Source organism: Homo sapiens, chromosome 9 (genome assembly GCF_000001405.40).
Source record: "Homo sapiens chromosome 9, GRCh38.p14 Primary Assembly".
In the NCBI taxonomy this organism is placed as follows: Eukaryota; Metazoa; Chordata; class Mammalia; order Primates; family Hominidae; genus Homo; species Homo sapiens.
In genome coordinates this window covers 19360912-19386362 of record NC_000009.12, presented here as the reverse complement: position 1 = coordinate 19386362, position 25451 = coordinate 19360912, and the positions used below count along the sequence as shown (strand labels likewise).

The following is a 25451-nucleotide window of genomic DNA, read 5'->3' as shown; positions in this document are numbered from 1 at the left end:
CCAAGCAGCTGAGATGATAAGTGAGCACCACCACGCCCGGCTAATTTGTTTAAAAAATTTTTTGCAGAGATGAGGTCTTGCTTTGTTGCCTAGGCTGGTCTTGAACCCCTGGCCTCAAGCAATCATCTCACCTCAGCATCCCAAAGGGATTACAGGCATGAGCCATGGTGCCCGGCCTGGGATCACTAATTTAATACTATTGAATACAGAGATGTAATTCTGTTTAGTCAGTATCTTCGTGGCTGAAAGACTCCGCCTTCAGGCCCTGTTATGGGCTGAACTGTGTCCCCCTAAAAATGCATATGATGAAGTCCTAACCCTCAGTACCTCAGAATGTGACTGTATTTGGAGATAGGGTTTTAAAAGAAGTAATTAAGTTAAAAGGAGGTCATCAGGTTGGGCACTAATCCAATGACTGGTGTCCTTATAAGAAGAGATTAGGACAGACACAGAGGAAAGACACAGAGAGCAGATGGCAGCCTATAAACCAAGGAGAGAACCTCAGAAGAAAGCAATCCTGCTGACATCTTGACCTCAGACTTCTGGCCTCCAGAATTTTAAGAAAATTAATTTCTGGCCGGGCGAGGGGGCTCACGTCTGTAATCCCAGCACTTTGGGAGGCTGAGGGGGGCAGATCACTTGAGGTCAGGAGTTCAAGAGCAGCCTGGCCAACATGGTGAAGGTGAAACTCCGTCTCTACTAAAAAATACAAAAATTAGATGGGCATGGTGGTACATGCCTGTAGTCCCAGCTACTTGGGAAGCTGAACCAGGAGAATTGCTTGAACCCAAGAGGCGGAGGTTGCAGTGAGCCGAGATTGCGCCAATGCATTCCAGCCTGGGTGACAGAGTGAGACGCCATCTCAAAAATAAATAAATAAATAAATTTCTGTTGGTTAACCCACCCAATCTGTGGTTGCCAGTTGTTATGGTTCTGTCGGTTGCCAGTTGTTATGGCAACCCTTGCAAACTAACACAGGCCCTTACTCAGAGCCCACCTTTTTCACTGTGCCAACACTGAGCTTTCAAATCTATATACCCGGCCCGGCGCGGTGGCTCACGCCTGTAATCCCGGCACTTTGGGAGGCCGAGGTGAGCGGATCACCTGAGGTCAGGAGTTTGAAACCAACCTGACGAACATGGCCAAAACCCGTCTCTACTAAAAATACAAAAAATTAGCCGGGCGCAGTGGCAGGCGCCTGTAGTCCCAGCTACTCAGGAGGCTGAGGAAGGAGAATCATTTGAACCCGGAAGGTGGAGGTTGCAGTGAGCCAAGATCGTGCCACTGCACTCCAGCCTGGGTGACAGAGTGAAACTCCGTCTCAAAAAAAAAAAACAAAAAAACAAAAAAAAAACATTTTTGTCAAAAACTAAGACACACAAACATTAATCTAGGCCTAGATGGGGTCAGGATCATCAAGGTGTCACTAGGTGATGGGAATTTTCCAGTTCCCTATCATATGGGACCAATGCTGTATGTGTGGTCTGTAATTGACCAAAATTTGTTATGCAGCACATAACTAAATGAGAAGACATCTTGTGTTGATAAGTTGGAAGACTTAATATTATAAAGATGGTAGTACTCCATAAATTGAGCTACAGATTAAATGCAATCCCCATCAAAATTCCAATGGCATGTTTTGCATAAATGAACAAGCTGATGCTAAAATTCATGTGCAATTGAAAAGGATCCTTAAGAACTAAACCCATCTTGAAAAAAAACAAAGTTGGAGTACTCTTACTTCCTTATTTTGATGCTTGCTACAAAGCTATAGCACTGGCATAAGGATAGGCACATGGACCATGGAAATAGAAGTGACAGTCCAGAAATAAACCTATAAATTTATGGCAATTAATTTTCAACAAGAGTGTCAAGACCATTCGATGAGGGATGAATAGTCTCTTCAACAAATAGTGCTGGAACAACTGGACATCTATCTGCAAAATAATTAAGCTGGAGTCCCAACCTCACACAATTATTTAAGAATAAACTCAAAACGGATCAATAACCTAAATATAAAAACTAAGACCATAACATAGGGTAAGTCTTTAAGATTAGATTTTAAAACATAGGGGTAAACTTTATGACACTGGATTTGGCAACGTATTTTTAAATGAAACCAAAAGCATGATCTACAACAATTTTTAAATTATATAAATTGGGCTTTAAAATTAAAAACTGTAACATTATTAAGAAAGCGAAAAGTCTACAGAATGGGAGAAAATATTTGCACATCACGTATCTAATAAGAGTTTAGTCTCCTGAATATATATTAAAAAACCCGATTTTAAAATGGACAAATGCTTTGGGAGGCTGAGGCAGGAGGATCACTCAAGGCCAGGAATTCAAGACCAGCCTGGGCAACATATGGAGCCCTTATCTCTACACACACACGCGCACGCACACACACACACACACACACACACACACACACACACACAAATCTTTTTTTTTTTTTCTCAATTAGCCAGAGTCATGACGGGTGTGCTGAAGAGAGACCACTGGCCTTGTGGGATTGGCTGTATGCGAGAGTCCACAGGAGAGGCTAAGAATATTGTATACAAAGATTTTTTTATGTTCTTGAGCAAATCCCTAAAAATGTAGCATATAGAAAGTATACAGAACAGATTACAAATGAGACACTGGCTATGGTTAAAGCAGAACCAGATGTTAAAAAATTAGAAGACCAGCCGGGCGCAGTGGCTCACTCCTGTAATCCCAGCACATTGGGAGGCCAAGGCAGGCGGATCACCTGAGGTCAGGAGTTTGAGACCAGCCTGGCCAACATGCCGAAACCCTGTCTCTACTAAAAATACAAAAATTAGCCGGGCATGGTGGTGCATGCCTGTAGTCCTGGCTACTTGGGAGGCTGAGGCAGGAGAATCGCTTGAACCCAGGAGGTGGAGGTTGCAGTGAGCCGAGATCATGCTACTGCACTTCAGCCTGGGCAACAGAGTGAGACTCTGTCTCAAAAATTAATTAATTAATTAATTAAATAAAAATAAAAAATCAGAAGACCAACTTCAAGGTGGTCAAATAGAAGAGGCGATTCTGCAGGCTAAAAATGAACTAAGTCTGGCAAGAAAAATGATGCAGTGGAAACCATGGGAGAGACTCCTGCCAATCAGTGGAAATGGCCAATATAATTATTAAATGACTTTGGTAGGTTGATGGGAAACTGATGTAATTAAATATTCTGTTATATTAAGAGTGTGGGCCAGGTGCAGTGGCTCACACCTGTAATCCCAGCACTTTGGGAGGCAAGGCAGAAGGATCATTTGAGGTCAGGAGTTTGAGACCATCCTGGCCAACATGGTGAAACCCCATCTCTACTAAAAATACAAAAATTAGCCAGGCATGGTGGCACGCACCTGTAATCCCAGCTACTCAGGAGGCTGTGGCGGGAGAATCGCTTGAACCCGGGAGGCAGAGGTTGCAGCGAGCCGAGATCGTGCCATTGCACTCCAGCCTGGGCGACAGAGCAAGACTCCATCTCAAAAAAAAAAAAAAAAAAAAAAGGCAAAGAACCCTTGTGTACTGTTGGTGGGACTGTAAATTGGTACAGCCATATGTAAAACAGTATAGAGGTTCCTCAAAAAATTCAAAATAGAACTAACGTGATCCAGCAGTCCCACTTCTGGATAGATAGCCAAAAGAATTGAAAACAGGGTCTGTCTCTAAGAGATATTTGCACACCCATGTTCATATCAGCATTATTTACAACAGCCAAGAGGTGGAAACAACCAAAATGTCCATTGACAGACGAATGGTTAAACAAAATGTAGTATATACATGCAACAGAGTATTATTCAGCCTTAAAAGAGAAGGAAATCCTGTCACATGCTATAACATGGATGAACCTTGAGAACATTATGTTAAATGACATAAGCCAGTCACAAAAAGACAACTACTACTGTTTGATTCCATTTATATGAGATGCTTAGTGAAAATCATAGAGACAGAAAGTAGAATGGTTACCAAAAGCCGTGGGTAGGGGGAAAGGAGTTGTTTAATGAGTATGAAGTTCCCATTTCGCAAGATGAAAAAGTTCTGGAGATCTATTTTACAACAATGTTAATATATTTAACATTACAGAAGTGTACACTTCAAAATGGTTAAGATGATACATTTTGTGTTATATGTTTTTTACCCACAATTAAAAACGCATTAAAATTTTTTTTTAAATGAGACAGGGTGACACTATGTTTGCCCAGGCTGATCTCAAACTCCTGGCCTCAAGAGATCCTCCCATCTCAGCGTCCTAAAGCGTCTGGATTACTGGTGTGAGCCACTGCATTTGGCCACCCTAAAATATTTTTAAAAGGAAAAACAAACAAAAAAAACTAGCCCATAGTTCTAGACTTTCTCTTTGCCTCACATTAATTTACTCCCACTACTTCAATAAAAATAACAGGGGGAGCTAAGAGCTTGTACAGACTTTTCTCTAAAGAAGATATACAAATGGCCAACAAACACATTAAAACATGCTCAACATCATTAGTCATTAGGGAAATGCAAATCAAAACCACAATGAGTCTCAGCTACTCCAGAGGCTGAGACAGGAGGATGCTGGAGGCCAAGAGTTCCAGACCAACAGGATCTCACTTTGAGCAACAAAGCGAGACCCTGTCCCTACAATAAATTTTTAAAAAATTAAAAAAATAACAAGTGTTGGCCATGATTTTGATAAAGTGCGGTCCTCATACATTGCCGGTGGGAATGTAAAATGGTTCAGCTGCTTTGGAATACAGTTTCAGTTTCTCCCTGAGTTGAGAATAGAACTACTATATGACCCAGCAATTTCACTCTTAGGTATATACCTAAAATAATTTAAAACAAGTACTCAAACATAGAAGAACTATTTACAGTAGTTAAAAGGCAGAAACAACCCAAATGTCTATTTATGGAGGAATGGATAAACAAACTGCAGTCTATATCTACACTAGAATATTGAGCCATAAAAGCAGTGAAGTACTGATACATGCTACGACTCAAAAGATTAGAAGACAGATACAAAAGGTCAATATTGTATGATTCCATTTTTATGAAGTAGGTACATCCACTGAGACAGAACACAGATTGGTGGTTGCCAGGCCTGGTCGAAATGGGGAAGGGGCAGCAACTGCTTTAACAGGGTACAGGGTTTTCTTTTAGGATGATGAAAATGTTTTGGAACTGTATCGATAGAGATGGTGGTTGTACAGCATTGTGAATGTACTAAATGCCACTGAATTGTTCACTTTAAAATGACTAGTTATGTCAATTTCACCTCAACAAAAAAATGACACACAGTACTCAGATTTTAAAAAGCATCATTTCACCAAGATTCCATGAATTAATGTGAGATGATCAAAGAGGATTCAGTAGAATCGTTCAACTTCGAATGTAAAACAGTCCTAAACTCAAACCTTTGTGACACTAAAGTGGGGAGATGGTATGTGATAGTTTTAGATAGTAAAAATTATTCTTGTTTACTTGGTCTCGAACTCGAACTTTTTTGAGGCGGAGTCTCTCTCTGTCGCCTGGGCTGCAGTGCAGTGGTGCGATCTGGACTCATTGCAACCTCCGCCTCTTGGGCTCAAGCGATTGTCGTGCCTCAGCCTCCCTAGTAACTGGGACTACAGTCGCCCCCCACCACGCCTGGCTATTTTACCTATTTTTGGCTATTTTACCTATTTTTATTAGAGACGGAGTTTCGCCATGTTGGCCAGGCTGGTCTCGAACTCCTGACCTAAGATGATCCGCCCGCCTCGGCCTCCCAAAGTGCTGGGATTACAGGCGTGAGCCACCGCGCCCGGCCTTGCCCTCCTATTTTGGTACCGTCAGATGCAAAGTGCCTGGGACAGAAGTGGGGCTCCGCTGGCGCCCAGCTCCAAAACCCAGGCAGCGTGGAAAAGACTAGACAGGGAAGGGGTTAGCCCTCAGAATTACACGCGGGTTTGCCTTACCAGACTACCACCACTGGCACAACCTCAGACCCACACCCAACCGACTTTACCTCCCAGGCCCTGATTAATCTCGCCCGGAAGTACCGCCCACCCATGCTCACTTCCGCTATCCCGTACTTCTGCTCATCTCGCGAGAACTGAAAGCGCCTATGTGACCTGCGCTAAGCGGAAGTTGGCCCTCTTTTCCGTGGCGCCTCGGAGGCGTTCAGCTGCTTCAAGATGAAGGTAGGTGATGGTGGCGAGTGTTAGACTGGGTTTGGGGAACGTGAATCGAGTCCCAGAACGCGGCATTGCCTCAGTTCCAGCACTCCAGGATCCTGGCTTTAGGTGGAGAAGGGTCTCAAGTAGGAGAAGGCTCGCCTTTCTGGGGCATGGAGCTTTTTGGCCGAACGGATGGCAGGCGATTGCGGCTGGAGCCGCGGCGGGCCGGGAGCGCCATGGTGGCGTCCCCGCGCCCAGCCGGGACGGATGCGGCGTGTTGCCCAGTTTGCGGCAGGCCTGTGGTGCGGCTCTTGACCCCGGCTTTCTTGCTTCGGGAGGGTGAACGGCTGCGGAGTGCCCTCGCCCCCAGAGTCATTCCGCGGGGCTTGAGGGGAAAACGTCCTGCTGAGTGCGGCGCTTCTTGACTGCTACTCTGCTTTCACGTGCTTTTAGTGAGTACAGTCGGCATCTTATATTTCCTGCTTGTGTGGAGGCAACATGAAAGGCTTTTTGCAGTGGAATTAACTTTGTAGATGGCTCTACAATTACCTGTATAGATAGTTTCGTAAACTATTTCCCCCCTTTTAATCCTTAGCTGAACATCTCCTTCCCAGCCACTGGCTGCCAGAAACTCATTGAAGTGGACGATGAACGCAAACTTCGTACTTTCTATGAGAAGCGTATGGCCACAGAAGTTGCTGCTGACGCTCTGGGTGAAGAATGGAAGGTAAAAGTTGACAAATTGTTGCAGGTATTTAAGTCAGAGACGGTAAACGCCATTGGTAACTGGTATTTGGAATGGGGTTCAGACTCCGGGTTCTGGCTTCTGACCTTTGGTAAGTTGCTTCCGAATGCCACTTTATAAAGTTAGAGGTATTACCTTGGAGGGGGGGACGTAGAGTAAGCCATAAAATATACGTAAAGTTTACATCAACATAATTCTTGCCCTGCATCATGCATTTGGCAATATGTCACATAGCTGTCCTCATAATCCCCAAAGTGCCAAAAAGGGTTGTATCTGATTTGTTTGTTGCTGTTTGATATTTTATCTTCTTAGTGCTGTTATCTCTAATAAAACATCGGTTAGAAATGCGACTTGAAAGACATTTGATAATTGAACTTGACAAGTTGGGAATATAGACAAAACTCACTGAACAGAGAAAACGTGCTTAAGTTCAAATTGGTTTTCATAATTATACTTTCTCATATAGGTGTGTTCACAGAGGTCACAATCCTGTACTGTATAATTTTGGAATAGAAATAGTAAATGTGTCATTCATTGTATGCTCTTGCAGGGTTATGTGGTCCGAATCAGTGGTGGGAACGACAAACAAGGTTTCCCCATGAAGCAGGGTGTCTTGACCCATGGCCGTGTCCGCCTGCTACTGAGTAAGGGGCATTCCTGTTACAGACCAAGGAGAACTGGAGAAAGAAAGAGAAAATCAGTTCGTGGTTGCATTGTGGATGCAAATCTGAGCGTTCTCAACTTGGTTATTGTAAAAAAAGGTGAGGGTTACTTGTGTTCAATTTTCGTTGAAATTGATTTAAAGCCAGTTGTCCAAATGCTTATTCATTTGCAGTATCCAGACTTACAGACCAATGGATTTGTTTCTCTACCATCAATTCAACATTAAACATTCTGATTTAGGATTCTTAAGGAAGTTGTTGAATTAAAATCTCTTCAACTGTTTCTTCTAAGGAGAGAAGGATATTCCTGGACTGACTGATACTACAGTGCCTCGCCGCCTGGGCCCCAAAAGAGCTAGCAGAATCCGCAAACTTTTCAATCTCTCTAAAGAAGATGATGTCCGCCAGTATGTTGTAAGAAAGCCCTTAAATAAAGAAGGTAGGAGGGATTATGCAATTAGGGCTTGCTTAATTTTGGTAATTTGTCTATCATTTTGTGTGCATATCAGAAGATAAATATGTGCCTTTGGAAGGCCTTAGCACTATTCACTTGGAGTTTTTACAGAAAATATTTGGGGGTGGCCAGCATACCCAGTTGGTGTTAATCCTTGCTTATTATATCCAGTGCCTTGTAGAGTGCAGTAATTTCGTTGAAAATCTGCTTGTGAATCTTTGATGTATACATTATCCAAAAATAACCTGACTTTAAGGTCATTGCTATCTGGTTTAGGAGTCACATGTTTGAGAATTCTGGGACTATTAGCACCACACACTTTGTAATTTTATATCAGATGTTCTAAATTATTAATATTTTTTAAGAGATGAGGTCACACTGTTGCCCAGGCTGGTCTTGAACCCTTGAGCTCAAGTGATGCTCCCACTTTGGCTTCCCAAAGTGCTGGGATTATGGGCGTGAGCCACCACACCCAGCCCAAAATTATTTTTTGGCTTACAAAAGAAGTTGCTTTAAACTTCTGTTTCATCTGTAGGATATGGATAACAATAGTTAAGAGTTGTGAGAATTAGAAGTTAGAGACCTTACTCAGAATACTAGGGAGCAGGTGTTAGGGATTTTGGAGCTTTACCTTTTAAGAACTTTTGTCCATATAGTAGACAACATACTCACCAGTGAGGACCTCAAATAGCAATATTTCTGTGGTGAAATTTGGGGATATTTATGTTAAATAAACAGCATGTCAGTCAAGGTTGGGTTTTCCTGACAAAATTTGAAAGAATTTCTCTGGATTTTGGTTTTCAGGACTGGTGTGACTTAACATACATGGCATAGATAGTATACGTCTGTTAAGTCAGTAATTACACTTACTTGAGCACAGGTACTGTTCAAGGTGCTGAGAATACAGTATAGACAAATTCCTACCCTTATGAAGCTGATGTTGCAAAAAAAAAAAAAAAAGCAATTGACAAATAGGTGGCAGTTGCCCATAATCATAGCCCTGGAAATAATCCGTATAATACAAGCGTGGTCTGGTTGATGGGTATTTTTAGATGGTTCTTATGTCTATAGTAGGAGGCTTAACATTTTAGCAGAATCTGAACATCTGAGCATTTAGCCTAAGGCAGTTAACTCCTACAAAGTGTCCATGAAACAAATACATCTGAAAAGGCCTATGCTCCAATGCAGATCTGTAATCCATGAGCAGTTTTGGAGTACAGATCAGATTAATGAAGATACTTTAACAACATGCCACCTAATCTGATGTTAATAGTTAACGTTACCCCTGAATTGGCAGGAATTGTCAAAGGAAATAGAGATGCAAGCTTACATCAAATTTAAAAGTATGGCAGGATGATTATGTAGATAATGTGTTAAGTGGTTTTCACAGACAAATTAACTATGCACAGTTATATATTAACATAATGCCACTGTATTTTAGTAAAACTGGAAGGTAGTAAAAGTTAGCCTGGTTATTTTTCAGGACTTGGTTTCCCTTATATTTTTATAATATTTAACCAATCTTCTAGATTTCTGTGGAGGGGCAAAAAGCATTTTAGAATAGTTCTGATTTGATTTTAAAGGCCTCATTATAGGTTTTCATAGATGCTGTTAAGCTTACGTTTATTTCTGATGTTTTTAAAGTAGATGTGGATTCTAACAAAACAAATATTGAAATGATTGAGTCCTTTGAATTTTTAGGTAAGAAACCTAGGACCAAAGCACCCAAGATTCAGCGTCTTGTTACTCCACGTGTCCTGCAGCACAAACGGCGGCGTATTGCTCTGAAGAAGCAGCGTACCAAGAAAAATAAAGAAGAGGCTGCAGAATATGCTAAACTTTTGGCCAAGAGAATGAAGGTTAGTCTAAGATGATTTGAGGGGGTGGGAGGAGTTCGACCTGGCTTTGGATTTGCGTCTTTAACCCAGAAAGGCCTTAACTGTTTGCTGTTTTGTTTTGTTTAGGAGGCTAAGGAGAAGCGCCAGGAACAAATTGCGAAGAGACGCAGACTTTCCTCTCTGCGAGCTTCTACTTCTAAGTCTGAATCCAGTCAGAAATAAGATTTTTTGAGTAACAAATAAATAAGATCAGACTCTGATCTCTGTTGACTTTTCATTGCTGATAGAAAACTACATAAATGAAGAGAGGGAAAGTTAGGTCATAGAAAATGGGGATATGTATATATGGTATTCCAATGGTGGATAAAGTCAGACCTATTGTGTGTGGTAGTGGAAGACAAGGTCAGTGTACAGGGGTTCCTTTCAGGGGATGGGTGGCACAGGAAGGGATTCTGAGCATAAGACACCTGCCTCTTCAGAATGGCATGGAACTTAGGGGAAATGATGAGGACTATTAATCTTTTTTATATAGTTTATTTTTGAGGAATATAGCTCTTTAAAGCACTATACACAATTTAATACATGAAAATTGACCTTGTGAAGATGAACATGTCTTTTTTAAAAGGTAACTTTTAAGGCATAGTTTTAGTGGATACCTAGTTTTAGTGGATACCATCCACTAAATGGTTTTTAAGCCATTTCAAATTTGTTTTAACAAAGCTTTTCAACTCCAGTGAATTGTTAGGCTGTTCACACACTGAAAAGGAAATGACTAAAAACATTCTTGGATCAGTGAAAAATGCACAAAGTATGTACTTTTTTCTAACAGTTCTATGCTGACTAGCCTATTGTGACAATATCAGGATCTTTAGAAGGTGGCACATTAGGCTTTAAGGTTGAAGTAATGCAAGCTCTTTGTTGGCATTACTGTAATAATAGCTTTACAAAGCAGAGTTCTAAATGTTAAATGTACATGTGAATCACCTAGGGGTCTGGTTAAGGCGCAGATAGTGATTGATAGAGGAGTGGGGACCCACATTTTTACATTACTAAAAAGCTCCCAGGTGTTAGGCCGGTAGTGCCAGTCCCTCGATGCCTACTAAGATTCTTAACTATTCCTCTTACTACATGGTGTTAAAAAGCTACATAACATGAAAAGAATCTTAGTTGGCAATCAATAATAATATGCAGAACTTAAAAGGCAAAGGGGATGGCCAGGTGGGGAGGCCAAGGCAGGTGGATCACCTGAGGTCAGGAGTTCAAGACCAGCCTGGCCAACATGGTGAAACCCCGTTCCTACTAAAAATACGAAAATTAGCGCATGCCTGTAGTCCCAGCTACTCGGGAGGCTGAGGCAGGAGAATCGCTTGAACCAGGGAGGTTGAGGTTTCAGTGAGCCAAGATTACACTGTTGTACTCCAGCCTGGGCGACAGAGCAAGACTCCCATCTCAAAAAAAAAAAAAAAAAAAAATTTAGCACAAGCAGAGAGAGGAACTTAAAAGCCACAAGGTGAGTCCAGTGTTATGGTCCAAAGTTTTATATTAACCAGTTCTTGTTTATGATGCACAAAACATGAGAACCGCCCTGCTTTCTGAAAATTGAGTGCAGCCACAAAATAAGGACAGTCTGTTTTTCCTTAGATTTTTTTTTTTCTTTGACACAGGGTTTCACTCCTACGCCCCGGATGGCGAGCAGTGGTATGGCTCACTGCAGCCTTGACCGCCTGGGAACTACAGGTGTGCACTGCGGCTAGTTTTTGTGCTTTTTGTAGAGTTTTGCTATGTTACCCAGGCTACTCTTGAACTCCTGGGCTCAAGTGATCCGCCTGCCTTGGCATCCCAAAGTGTTGAGATTACTACAGGCGTGAGCCACCATACCCAGTTCTCCACACACACGCAAGTCATTCTGACATGTCGTTAACTATGCAGGTTGTGATCAACCTGTACAATTCGTTCGTTGGAAGAAAAAAAAATCGCTATCGAACCCCAAACCAATATAAGGTACTGCTGAGTAATCTGGACTAATTTGAAAGATTGCTTTTAGAAGTTATCAGGATTAAAGTTGCATACAGTGCTACAAGTCATTCCAGGTACTTCTAAATCTTTCCATAATAATGTTTTTGTCTTGTAAATTTTTAGTGGTACCCTCTCTGTGGTGGGTATTGGAAAAAGCCTTTAAAAATTTATAACAAGAAATCAGTCCCAATATCTAAATGGCAGCAGCAGACTAAAGTTTTCAAGGTAGAGATCTTTACAGATTTTTTTTAATGGGAAGCGCGTCAGTAAGTGAAAACTTGAGTTCAAGTTACGAGTGAAGGAATGGAAAAAACAAAATATTGGGATTCTAAAGATTACAGATTTCAAGAGGCTTAATGTAACAGAAAACAACAATTTTTCATTTTATTCAACCTCAATTTTTATATGCAAGGTAATTCCAAACTTCTGTTGGGTCAGTAAGTGTTAAGTATTAAAACTAGTACCAAGTCTTGAGTTGCAAAAATATATACTCTCAGACAGTGCAAAAGATCCATTTTGAAGGTAATGAAAATTGTACATAATTTCTGACAAATTGTTTCATTTAGCATTTTCACAATAAATTCACACTAGAATTCTGCATAGGTCAGATTAACCCTGAAATGTTGAAAGACTGGTACAATAACTATAATTTGTAAATGGTTACATCAGGTAGAAGGGAGTTAGGTTGTTACTGTACCATATGGAAGTAATTTTACTGTGTCAACTCATTTAGTCATCTGCATAATTACTGTAAACACACACAAAACCAATGGCTTTTTAAACCATGCAGAGAGTTAAGGCAAACTTACTGTTCCTAAGGGATATTTTTAATAAAAGGCATGATAAATGTCAAAGTGAGGCATGTGAGATCATGATTTTCTTAAACCTACTGGCAACAAGCTTAATAAATTTACAGTTTTAAGACTTAATTGATTCAACCTAAAAACACAGTATTTACAAATGCACATTTTTACTCACAAGCATACAAATCTAAATATACAAGAATAAAACTTCCGTGTGCAGTGCAAGTTTATCCCACAGGTTTTAAAAAGTCATCAATACCAACAATGTATGTGCCTGAAAAAAGATTTCATGTTCAATGACATACACTTTAGCATTTTAAGCACATTCCAATGAATTCCATAAATTATTAGGCAGCTGATTTAATTTCATTTTAACTATCTGATGATTGATTCATTTGTTCCCATTTTAAAACTATTGCAAATTAACATTGGGAAGAGGATGGAAGTAACTGGATAATCAAGATAAAACCCATTAAGCAAGATAATACATAATATGAAAGGTGTATTATGTTGGTACAAAAATAATTGCGGTTTTTGCCATTAATAGTGGCAAAAACTACAATTAATTTTGTGCCAACCTAATACATTAAAGTTAGGGAAGGCAGCTGTCATCAGATTTTCAGGTAATTTTAAGATTAATGACTACAGACAAGTTTAGTAGTAGTCATTTATTTAATAGTCAATGAGACCCCTTTCAGAAAACCGTATTGCAACATGCAATCTATTTTAATAAATATACACTTAGAATATGGCTGTATATACACATACCTACACAGCCCTACACATATACAAACTTACACAAATATGTTGCTCTCTTTTTTTTTTTTTTTTTTTTTTGAGACGGTCTCACTCTGTCACCCAAGCTGGAGTTGCAGTGGCGTGATCTCCACTCACTGTAGCCTCTGCCTCAGTTCAAGCGATTCTCCTGCCTCAGCCTGAGTAGCTGGGACTACAGTGGTGCGCCTGGCTAATTTTTGTATTTTTAGTAAAGACAGGGTCTCACCGTGTTGGCCAGGCTGGTCTCGAACTCCTGGCCTCAAGTGATCCACCCACCTTGCTCAGCCTCCCAAAGTGCTGGGATTACAGGCCTGAGCCACCGTGCCCGGCCATGTTGCTTTTATAATTGAGATATTTCATTTGTTTTGGGGGTTAGGCAAATTTAATTTGCCATTCCTCAAACTCAGTAACTTCAAATATAAACAATGCCTAGAATGAATATGGTTCCTCATTATTTCTATCAAACTACTACAAATACTGAAGAATCCCAAAGTAGTTTTCCACAGAGGCAGAAAAGCAGTTCAGGGGTTGAAAATCTTCAATATTAATAAGCCCTGGGACATTCAAATGGCACTTCATATTTCAAGGTAATGCAATATGAATCATAATTCATTATATATTGTCCCCAAGAGTTACTTCAATTCCGTATTCACCAGTTCTTACGATTTGGAAAAAAAAACTTGAATGTTTCCAGATGAAATCTAATCCCCAAGCCTTGTGTGTCAACATTCTAGTGAATCTCTATTTAAATGAGAGGCGCTCCAAAACACTTCCTGCACCACTCGACACTGGCACTTGGTGGAGCATCAATTTTCTGCAACCTTTCAAGAATCTCTGAAGACAGACTATTGTATGCAATTCCATATTCATTGTCAAATGCCTCTGAAAGAAATTTTCAAAAATGAAGTTGTAATTTGTTAAGAAAGACAACAGCCGTTCATTTCAAATTGGTATTGAGTCAAATTATATGTATTTGAACTATATATTTAGAAGTAGAAATCTTTTAAATCTTTTATACATACCAGCTACATTTTTAAAAATTACTTTTGAAAATAAAATGTAAAACTTCCTTTCATAATCTTTTATTAACCAACTTACCAATATCAATATTCTCTCTTCCTAGAGACACTAATGATAAGAAGAGGATTTCTCTGTATAAACTCCTATAAAACAAATATGTTTTAAAAGTCAATGGGCAAATAGCATAAAAACACAGATGCATTTTTTTTAATGGTGAAGACATTAAGTTCTGTCATCTAGTTAATAGTAATATAACTATGTCAATGTCCTGGTTTTAATATTACATTACAGTTAGTTATATGAGGTGTCACATTTGGAGGAAGCTGTGTGAAGGCTACATTGAATTCTGTACTATTTTTGTAACTTCCTGCAGGTTTCTATTCCAAATTAAAGTTAAAACATAGTTAATGGGCATAAAGCTTCACACTAGTAACAAAAATGGCTTAACTTTATTACATTTCAACAATACATAACTGTTTTAACTCTAATTTCTAAATAAAATTTACAAAAGCAGAGTCTTCTCTCATCTTTTGTCACTTGACAAAGTAACAGATTAATTTCTAAGTAAGTTAGGGGTCTAAAACCCTTGACACAAACAATGTAAAAGGTGGTGTGGTCTCTTTACTATTTAACCCAATAGCAAAGGACAGTTCACCTTTATTTGGTTTGTGAGCATTAAAATGTTACAAATGAAACACTAAAAGTGAGCTTCATGACTCAGTTGTTAAAGATGACAGGAAAACTTAAGAAATGCACTGATGTACAGAGAAAAAAAAGACGTAAGGCTGATTCTAGTGACACTTGGTATCACTTTCTTTAGAAGCTTCAGAAGCCATAATATGACATTTCTAATATTACATTCCTGTCCTTAAACTACAGATGCTTGAAGCAAGCTACTCATATTACAGACTGTGAAGAAGGTCATCTCTACCTCAACTACTGATAGTAAAAATGGATCCATCCATTTTCATTATCAATTCTTGCCCTGTCACTTCTGAGATTATCTTCAAAGATGCCATGACCTAAAAAACTTGAAGGGGACCATGGAAACATTAGGAATGTTTGATATACGCGATTACGCACACTATTCTGAAGCTTCTACTGCAAAATTCACTTATGTTGAGGAGGGGATGAGTACTAATCTGAGCATATTAGCAGACAATAGTGACAGGAGCACAATAACTCCATATCCTTTGTAGTTCACTGCGTCTATCTCTTTGCTACATTGTTTCTGCTCCTATTCCCATATTCTCTTATGTCCAACAAAAGAAAAGATGTGTGGGTATCACAGGCCCTGAATAAGTGGTACGTAAGTTTATCAATGTTAATAAATATAATTATAGGTTTCCAGCAAACAGCAGTAATGTTTCCAAAAGACAGTACACTTTAGATCAATGAATGATCTTCTTAAAATGGAATCTATTTCCACTCTTTTTTTTTTTTTGAGACAGGGTTTTGCTGTTGTCACCCAGGTGGCAGTGCAGCGGTGTGATCACAGCTGACTGTAACCTGGACCTCCTGGGCTCAAGAAATCCTCCTGTCTTACCCTCTCAAGTAGCTGAGGTCACAGGCACATACCACCCCTGACAAATTATTTTTTGTAGAGATGGGGTCTTGCTATGTTGCTCAGTCCAGTCTCAAACTCCTGAGCTCAAGCAAGCAATCCTCCTGCTTTGGCCACCCAAAGTGCTGGGATTACAGGTGTGAGCCACCGTGCCAAGCCCCCAGACACTTTTATTATGTGTTTGTGTTCAAGTAGGAATGTATATATCTGTGTAGCACTTAAAACAATAGATGTTTTGCAATGAGTATGTGTTTCTTCGACAACTAGAGATATTTTTAAAAGTAAGATATTTTTTTAAAAACATGAAATGACTGAGTGGTGGCAAGCAAAAAATACTGGATTATTACCTTTGTCTTTTCATGCCTGGCTTCATTTGCTGTGAAAGTAGGTTGATGGGTTTAAGAACATTATTGTGCTGAATACTCTGCCTGATGGTTTCTACTAAAGTGCTTGTTTCTTGTTGTTCCTCTGACAGGAGAGATGATTTCTTTTCAGAATCTAACAATAAGAACACAGTAAGTTTTTTTTCAATTATTACTATTATTATTATTATTATTTTTTTTTTTTTGAGACAACATCTCACTCTGTTACCCAGGCTGGAGTGCAGTGATGTGATCATGGCTCACTGCAACCTTCGTCTCCCAGGCTCAAGTGATCCTCCCACCTCAATCTCCCAAATAGCTGGGACTACAGATGTATGCCACCATGCCCAGCTAATTTTTGTATTTTTTGTAGAGATAGGGTCTCACCAGGTTGCCCAGGTTGGTCTCAAACTCCTGGGCTCAAGCAATCTGCCTCCCAAAGTGCTGGGGTTACAGGCATGAGCCACTGTGCCCAGTCCCAGTCCCAATTATTTAAAAAGTTTTTTCTCCAGAGTTGTCGCATTTTCTCCTTGCTTAACCAATAGCACTTCCCCACTACTAGTAAAATTATGTGGCAGTGTGCCCAACTAAAAAATATTTTTCCTGCTTGCTCCCTTCAAACAGGCAGACCTGTCACTCTGCCTTTCTCTTCTAATATATGGTGGCTTACTGCCTGAGGCTGGAATGTGATAGCTTGTACTCCAGCAGCCATAAAAGCAGGTACAACAGAAGGAACCTGGATCCCTGATGACAGAGGAGTTGTCTAGCAGTACTAGACTGTCTAGTACATAACTTTTTTTCTTTTTTAAAAATGTATTTACTTAATTTTTGGAGACAGGATCGCATTCTGTTGCCAAGGCTGGAGTGCAGTGGCTGATCATTGTAACCTTCAACTCCTGGGCTCAAGCAGTCCTCCCTGCTCAGCCTCCCAAATAGCTAGGACTACAGGCATGCACCATCACAGTTGGCTAATTTATTTTATTTTTGTAGAGATAGGGTCTTGCTATGTTGCCCAGACTAGTCTTGAACTCAGCCTCAAGCAGTCCTCCTGCCTCAGCCTCCCAAATCACTGGAATTACAAGCATGAGCCAACCATGTCTAGCCTTATTTTTAATCAATAAGTAAAAATTGTATTTACTTATGGTGTACAACATGATGTAATTCATAACTTTTTAGACAGTTTTTCACTCCGTCACCCAGGCTGGAGTGAAGTCGTGCAATCACAGCTCACTGCAGCCTTGACCTCCTGGGCTCAAGCAATCCTCCTGCTTCAGCCTCGAGTAGCTGAGGCTACAGGGGCATGCCACCACATCTAGCTAATTTTTTATTTTTATTTTTTGTAGAGATGGGCTCCCACTATGTTGCCCAGCCTAGTCTCAAACTCCTGGTCCCAAGTGATCCTCCCACCTTGGCCTCCAAAAGTGCTAGCCTGATTTGCCTAGCCTAATAACTTCATATGAGAGAATAATCTTTACCTGTTTCAGCCTCTGTTATTTTCTGTTAAATATAGCAGAGTCTAGTGCTAATTAGAAGGAACGTAATTCGGCCGGGTGTAGTGGCTCATGGCTGTAATCCCAGCACGTTGGGAGGCTGAGGCAGGCGGATTGTCTTTTTCATTATACATTTAATTATATTGTATTGTGTAACACCGCCCCTAAATAAAGACAACTGGTAATAGTTCATTTGTGTTAAACCGAAAAAAAAAAAAAAAAAAATAGCAAAGTCCTCTGTTATGATAACAGGAAATACTGGCTGCTATGAGTTTTCATCCTAGGTCTTCCACCTGCTAAATGATAGACTTTGAATAGTGTTAATCTTCACACTATGCTATAATTTCACAATTATTGAGATAAGTCTCAAACCAAACATTACACCAATTTAAATACACAATTCAATGGTTTTTAGTATATTCATGAAGTTGTGCAACCATCATCACTATCAATTTTAGAACATGTTCATATCCCAAAAAGAAACCCCATCTCAACCCCTTAGCCCTAGGCAACCACTAATCTACTTTCTGTCTCTATACATTTTCTTATTCTGGATATTTCATATAAATGGAATAATACAATCTATGCTCCTTCACAACTGGTTTCTCTTCTAGAGTGGTTTCAAGATTCAACTGTGTTGTACATATATCAGTACTTCATTGTTTTCTGTTGCCAAATGAAATTCCATTGTATGGATATACCATACTTTATTTATCAATTCATAATTTTTTTTTCTTGTTTTTGAGATGGAGTCTCGCTCTGTTGCCCAGGCTGGAGTGCAGCAGCAGAATCTCAGCTCACTGCAACCTCTGCCTCCCTGGGTTCAAGTGATTCTCCTGCCTCATCCTCCCAAGTAGCTGGGACTACAGGCATGTGCCACCACGCCCAGCTAATTTTTGTATTTCTTTTAGTAGAGACGGGGTTTCCCCATGTTGGCCAGGTTGGTCTCGAACTCCTGACCTCAAGTGATCTGCCGGCCTCAGCCTCCCAAAGTGCTGGGATTACAGGCGTGCGCCACTGCGCTCAGCCCTCAATTCATAGACTGATAGACATTTGTTTCCGTATTTTTGGCTATTATGCAAATGCTATTATGAACATTCATGTGCAAGTTTTCATGTGGACATCATTTCTCTTAGGTATATACGTGAGTGCAACTGCTGTATCATATGGTAACTCATATGGTTTGCCATTTTGAGGAGCTGTGAAACTGTTTTCCAAAGGAGCTGCACAATTTTATATTCTAACTGACAGTGTCTGAGGGTTCCACTTTCTCCACATCTTCACTAACTCGTTATTATTTTTTTTTATTATAGCCATCCTAGTAAGTATGAAGTGTTATTTCCTTGTGGTTTTGATTTGCATATCCTTGACAGCTAGTGCTGTTGAGCATTTTTCATGAGCTTTTGGCCATTTGAACATTTTATTTGAAGAACTACTGATTTACAGCCTTTGCTCATTTTAAAAATGGGTTGCCTTTTTATTACTGAGTTGTAAGAGTACTTTACATAGTCTGGGTACAAATCCTTTTTAAGATATGATTTGCAAATATCTCCTCCCAATCTGTCGATTGACCTTTCACTTTTTTGATGGTTTAAATTTCAGAAGTTCTTTCTTTTGACTAAATCCAACTTATCTACTTTTTCTTTTGTTGATTGTGCTTTTGTTGCTTTTTTTGAAGGCCTTGCCTAACTAACACGGAGTCATGAAGATTTACTCCTATGTTTTCTTCTAAGTGCTTTATAGTTTTAGCTCTTACATTTAGGTTTATGACCCATTTTTAGTTCATTTCTATGTATGATTTGAGGAAGTATCCAATTTCATTCTTTTTATTATTGCTAGCCTGTTGTCCCAGCACGTGTTGAAAAGACTATTCTTTTTTTTGAGACAGAGTCACTCTGTTGCCCAGGCTGGAGTGCAGTGGCGCAATCTTGGCTCACTGCAAGCTCCGCCTCCTGGGTTCACGCCATTCTCCTGCCTCAGCCTCCCGACTAGCTGGGACTACAGGTACCCGCCACCACGCCTGGCTAATTTTTTTGTATTTTTTTAGTAGAGATGGGGTTTCACCGTGTTAGCCAGGATGGTCTCGATCTCCTGACCTCGTGATCCGCCCGCCTCGGCCTCCCAAAGTGCTGGGATTACAGGCGTGAGCCACTGCACCCGGCCGAAAAGACTATCTTAAATGGTCTTCACACTGAAAGGCAACTGACCATACATACATGTGAGGGTTTATTTCTGGAACTTCAGCTATATTCCATCAACCTATGTCTCTTTTTACACCAGTATTTTACTTTCTTGATTACTGTAGCTTTGCAGTAAGTTTTCAAATTGAAGAACTGTGAGTCCTATAACACTGTTCTTTTTCAAGATTGTTTTCGTGATTCTAAGTCCCTTGAACATCCATATGAATTTCAAGATTCACTTGTCAATTTACGTAAAGAAGCTACCTGAAATTCTGATAGGGACTGCATTCAATCTGTAAATCAATTTAGGACTACTTCCATCTTAATAATATTAACTTTTCCAGACCATAAACATTGGATTCTTTCCATTTACTTATTCTTTAATTTCTTTCAACAATTATTTAAGTTTTTGGAGTGTAAGTTTTGCATTTCTTTGGTTCAATTTATCCATAAGTATTTTGTTCTAATGCTATTATAAATAAATAAAATTGTTTTCTTAGTTTCATTTTGAATTATTTGTTCAAAGATATAGAAATAGTTGATTTCTCTATACTGATCTTATAGCCTGGAACCTTGCTGAACTTATGCAGTTCTAATATGGTGTGTGTGTATAATAATATGTTAGGTGTGTGTCTATTCCTTAGAATTTTCTATATATTATATATATAGAAAAAATAAATATCATTTATCATATAATCTGCAAATATAGATACACTTACTTTTTTCCTTTCCAGTTTGGATGCCTTTTCTTTTCTTGACTAATTACTCTAGCTAGAACCTCTGGTAGAATGGTAAATAAAAATGGCAAAAGTGGGCATCCTTGTCTTACACTTGTACTTAGTGAGAAAGTATGTTAAGAGTATGGTATCAACTGTAGATTTTCATAGATGCCCATTACCAGGCGGAGGAAGATCTTCTCTATTCCCAGCTTGATGAGTGTTTTAAACAAAGGGTGATGGATTTTGCCAAATGATTTGGCTGTGCCTCCTGAGATGATCACGTGAATTTTGTCCTTTACTCTATTGATAGTATATTACACAATTGATTTTCAAATGTTAAACCACAATTGCATGCTTGAGATAAATCCCACTTTGTCATGGTGTAAAATCATTTTTATATATTGCTGGATTTGATCTGCTAGTATTTTATTCACGATTTTTATGTCTATATTACTAAATGATACTGATTTTTAATTTTCTTATGATGTCATTGGTCTTTGTATCAGGGTAATAATGGCCTTCTGACCAAAATCTCCACTGTTTTTGAGAGTGCTCTCAGGCTTAAACTTCTCCACACTCTGTTCCAAATAAAATAATTTCCTTTAGGGAAAATTTCAGAGCTCTCTATTCTTATGACCTGCCTCTCCCCCTGGGCAAAATTTCTTTTTTTTTCGTTTTCTTTTTGTTTTTTGAGACAGTCTCACTCTGTCGCCCAGGCTGGAGTGCAGTGGCACGATCTCGGCTCACTGCAACTTCCGCCTCCCAGGCCTCCCTGATTCTCCTGTCTCAGCCTCCCAACTAGCTGGGATTACAAGTGCCCACCACCACACCTGGCAAATTTTTTTGTATTTTTAGTAGAGGCGGGGTTTTATCATGTTGGCCAGGCTGGTTTCAAACTCCTGACCTCAGGTGATCCACCCGCCTTGGCCTCCCAGAATGCTGGGATTACAGGCGTGAGCCATCGTGCCCAGCCCCTGGGCAAAATTTCTAAGCCACTGCTCTGGAGCTGGGGCTGGGAACAGTGGCCCTTCTTTTAGAGTGACATTCCTGCTTTATGAGCAGGGTGCTAGATAGAGACATGACCCTGTCTCAAAAGAAAAAAAAATCTTACAGTAAGTATCCTTGTGTAAACAGTTAGCTGTGTACTGTATTTCTATAGAACAGAGTTCTCGAACTGCAATTCCTGAGTTTAAAGGGTATCCACATATGAAATCTACATGTCTGCCATATTGTTCTCCAGAAATGTATCATTTTACACATCTAAAAGTATATGAAAGTGTTCCCCAAACATCTTCAACAATCTTTAAATTTTTTTAAACAATCTTCATCTTTAACGTTTTTTGCCAACCTGACAGTTACAAGTTTATGTTTTCCTTTTTTTTTTTCTTAACAGACAGGAAGGCGGGGAGGTCTCACTTTGTCACCCAGGCTGGAGTACACTGGTGCAATCATAGCTAACTGCTGCCTAGAACTCCTGGGCTCAAGGGATTCTCCTGCCTTGGACTCCCAAAGTGTTGTGGTTACGGGCGTAAGCCACCACGCCAGCCACATTATCCTTTTTTTCTTTTATGAGATGGAGTCTTGCTGCGATGCCCAGGCTGGAGTGCAACGGCGCAATCTCGGCTCATTGCAACCTCTGCTTCCCGGGTCCAAGCAATTCTCCTGCCTCAGCCTCCTGAGTAGCTGGGATTACAGGCGTGCATCACCAAGCCTGGCTAATTTTTTTTATATTTTTAGTAGAGACAGAGTTTCACCATATTGGCTAGGCTGGTCTTGAACTCCTGACCTCAAGTGATCCACCTGCCTCGATCTCCCAAAGTGCTGGGATTACAGGCATGAGCCACCGTGCCAGGCCTACATTTTCCTTTTTTAAAATATAAAGTTATATTTCACTTAATACTAGTATGATTGAGCTTTTAAAATATGTTTATATTACAGACTGAATTGTGTCACCCCCAAATTCATATGTTGAGGCCCTAATTGCCAATGTGACTCTATTTGGAGATAAGGCCTTTAAATAAATAATTAAGGTTACATGAGGACATAAGAGTGGGGCACTAATGTTTTTTTAATTTTTTTTTTGAGATGGAGTCTCACTCTGTCGCCCAGGCTGGAGTGATCTTGGCTCACTGCAACCTCCGCCTCCCGGGTTCAAGCAATTGTCTGCCTTAGCCTCCCGAGCAGCTGGAACTACAGGTGCCCACCACCACGCCCAGCTGAATTTTGTATTTTTAGTAGAGATGACCAAGACCATCTTGGCCATGCTGGTCTTGAACTCCTGACCTCGTGATCCACCCGCCCTCGGCCTCCCAAAGTGCTGGGATTACAGGCATGAGCCACTGCGCCTGGCCAAGTGGGGCCCTAACCTAATACAGCTGATGTCTTTATAAGAAAAGGAGACACCAGGAATGTGTGCATGTGCATGCACACACACAGAGAAAAGGTTATGTGAGGGTACAGCAAGAGGGCAGCCATCTACAGGCCAAAGAGAGGCCTCAGAAGAAACCAAACCTGCTGATCCCTTTCTAGATTTTAGACTTCCAGCCTCCAGAACTGTGAGAAAATAAATTTCTGTTGTTAAAGCCACCCAGTCTGTGGTATTTTATTATGGCAGCCCTAGCAAACTAATACAGTTTGAAAGCTGCTTAATGTTTTTAATATGAATTACCTATTAATATCATTTGGTCATTTCTCTACTGAATTGTATTTTTCTTACTGATTCACAAGGCTTTTGAATACATGAATAATAACTCTTTAAACACCTTGTAAAAATATACTCTAAAAGATTAAAAATGAAGCCAGAACCCTTAAGACCAGTCAGTAACCATTAATACAGCTGAACTTATGATCCTATACCAACACATCTAAATTACTCTTCTGCTATATAGAATTTACTCTCAAAATAGCCAACCAAATTTTTACTTGATAGAAAAATCACCAAAAAAATTACTCAACTCAGTTGAGACCCGTCACAATTAAAAAACAGGTCAGTAAAACAGCAAACCACTTTTTCATTTGTGTGTGTGTGTGTGTACTTTTTTTTTTAACAGCAAATCACTTTGAATTAATTAAAAATTTAAAAATAAAGCAAAATAATTTGCTTTTCTATATTTAACTCTAGGGGAATTTAGTTTAATTCTGTTTCTTTTTTTTCTTCCCAGCAGTCCATTCTTTATTGCAGAACAATATCCTACAGTATGGATGGAATGTGCCACAATTTGCTTATCCAGTCACCTATGGATGCGTATTTGAGTTGTTCCCATTTTGAGTCTTTTATGTCTTTAACTCTTTGTTTTGTTTTGTTTTGTTTGAGATACAATCTTGCTCTGACACCCAGGCTGGAGTGCAGTGGCATGATCTCAGCTCATTGCAACCTTTGCTGCCCAGGTTCAAGCGATTTTCAAGCCTCAGCCTCCTGAGTAGCTGGGACTACAGGCACCTGCTACCACACCTGGCTAAGTTTTGTATTTTTAATAGAGACAGGATTTCACCATGTTGGCCAGCCTGGTCTCCAACTCCTGACCTCAAGTGGTCCGCCAGCCTAGGCCTCCCAAAGTGCTGGCATTACAGGTGCGAGCCACTGCACCTGGCTGTTATGTCTTTAATTCTATTTTACTTACTAAAATTCCTCCATGAGACATACAGAGGTTCTCTTGGTTCCTGATGAAGGTTGATATTATCCCATAACAGCTGAATATACACAAGTTTGCTATCCTGGGACAGAGATGACAGAGGAAGCTAAAAGAAATCAAAAGAAAGTATTAGTATCCCGAGAATAACAATTACCAGTAGATCTAGTGAAGCTTGATTATATAAAACAGATGAGTCCTTTTAAAATTCTGGACCTAAAATTCAGAATCAAAATTTTAATTTTTATTAATGTCTGATGACAAATGTTATTATTATTTTCTGAGGTCAAGGTTTCTCAGTGTGACTTTTAAGAAATGGGATGACAATTAGCTAACTGGCATGATGGTTGTAGAAAGATTAATTACCATTACAGCAAATTTTAAGGTCAAAGTGCAAGAGGTTCTACTACCTTACCAAATAATTTTGTTTCACCTACCTAATCAAACTAGAGTTTATAGTACTTTAAGGAAAGATTTTATTTTGCCCCATGTATATGTTTAGGGCCTGAGTGTCTATCAATATTAATCCTATAAAATAAAGCACTCTAGGAGCTCACTGTCTCTAATGGAATCAGGATCCCAGTATAAGTAGAGTTGGGGCTTTTAAGTCAGACAGCCAGAATGTGACCTTGGGTCTCCATCACTTATTAGGTATGTCACCTTACAGAAATTACTAAATTTCTCTAACTTTTAATTATAACATCTGAAAAATATGGATAATATGGGTCCTTTCAAATAAGGTGGTTGTGAGAATTGCAGCTGGGAACAGAACAGTTAAGAATAATAGCTACCAGCCGGGCACAGTCGCTCACGCCTGTAATCCCAGCAGTTGGGAGGCCGAGGCAGGTGGATTGCCTTAGGTCAGGAATTCAAACCAGCCTGGTAAAATCCCATCTCTACCAAAAATACAAAAATTAACTGGATGTGGTGGTGGGTGCCTGTAATCCCAGCTACTCGGGAGGCTGAGGCAGGAGAATCACTTGAACCCAGAAAAAGGAGGCTGCAATGAGCCGAGATCACGCCATTGCACTCCAGCCTGGGCA

General features: G+C 39.9%; 2 protein-coding genes and 1 pseudogene across 39 annotated transcripts in view, besides 1 other annotated feature; 2 read left to right on the top strand and 1 right to left on the bottom strand.

Annotated features, from left to right (window-relative positions):
• Positions 2473-3215, top strand: NDUFA5P3 (NADH:ubiquinone oxidoreductase subunit A5 pseudogene 3; annotated as a pseudogene).
• Positions 5613-6812: an enhancer, noted in NCBI's record as "BRD4-independent group 4 enhancer chr9:19379549-19380748 (GRCh37/hg19 assembly coordinates)". NCBI's record gives its function as "activates an origin of replication core promoter dependent on BRD2, P300/CBP, MED14 and CDK7 cofactors, and independent of BRD4, by STARR-seq in HCT116 cells {active_cell/tissue: HCT116}" and the evidence as "EXISTENCE:reporter gene assay evidence [ECO:0000049][PMID:35650434]".
• RPS6 (ribosomal protein S6) lies at positions 6127-10648 on the top strand. The gene is made up of 6 exons (NM_001010.3): positions 6127-6173; positions 6745-6876; positions 7445-7655; positions 7849-7995; positions 9712-9869; positions 9975-10648. The coding sequence occupies exons 1-6, from the start codon at positions 6168-6170 to the stop codon at positions 10068-10070; spliced, it is 750 nt and encodes a 249-aa protein (NP_001001.2). The 5' UTR covers positions 6127-6167; the 3' UTR covers positions 10071-10648.
• A 1433-nt stretch (positions 10649-12081) lies between these two features.
• Positions 12082-25451, bottom strand: part of DENND4C (DENN domain containing 4C) — a 143769-nt gene continuing 130399 nt past the window's right edge. For 31 of the 38 annotated variants that reach the window (NR_169842.1, NR_169852.1, NR_169854.1 and 28 more), the window contains 4 exons: positions 24400-24517; positions 16376-16526; positions 14543-14607; positions 12082-14326 (listed from right to left, as the gene is read on the bottom strand). Coding sequence is in view for 24 of the 38 variants with exons in the window: in NM_001386047.1 (NP_001372976.1) it covers positions 14190-14326; positions 14543-14607; positions 16376-16526; positions 24400-24517 (471 nt within the window). In the remaining 14 variants the exon portion in view is untranslated. The remainder of the gene's footprint in view (positions 14327-14542; positions 14608-16375; positions 16527-24399; positions 24518-25451) is intronic. The other 7 variants (XM_047423585.1, NM_001386039.1, NM_001386045.1 and 4 more) reach the window with 3 other exon arrangements.

What these genes read in the sequence shown, in the direction of transcription:
- RPS6 (NM_001010.3), top strand. An exon ending in CTCTGGGTGAAGAATGGAAG is followed by an intron (nt 6,877 to 7,444) that starts GTAAAAGTTGAC and finishes ATGCTCTTGCAG; the next exon opens with GGTTATGTGGTCCGAATCAG. An exon ending in TTTTGGCCAAGAGAATGAAG is followed by an intron (nt 9,870 to 9,974) that starts GTTAGTCTAAGA and finishes TGTTTTGTTTAG; the next exon opens with GAGGCTAAGGAGAAGCGCCA.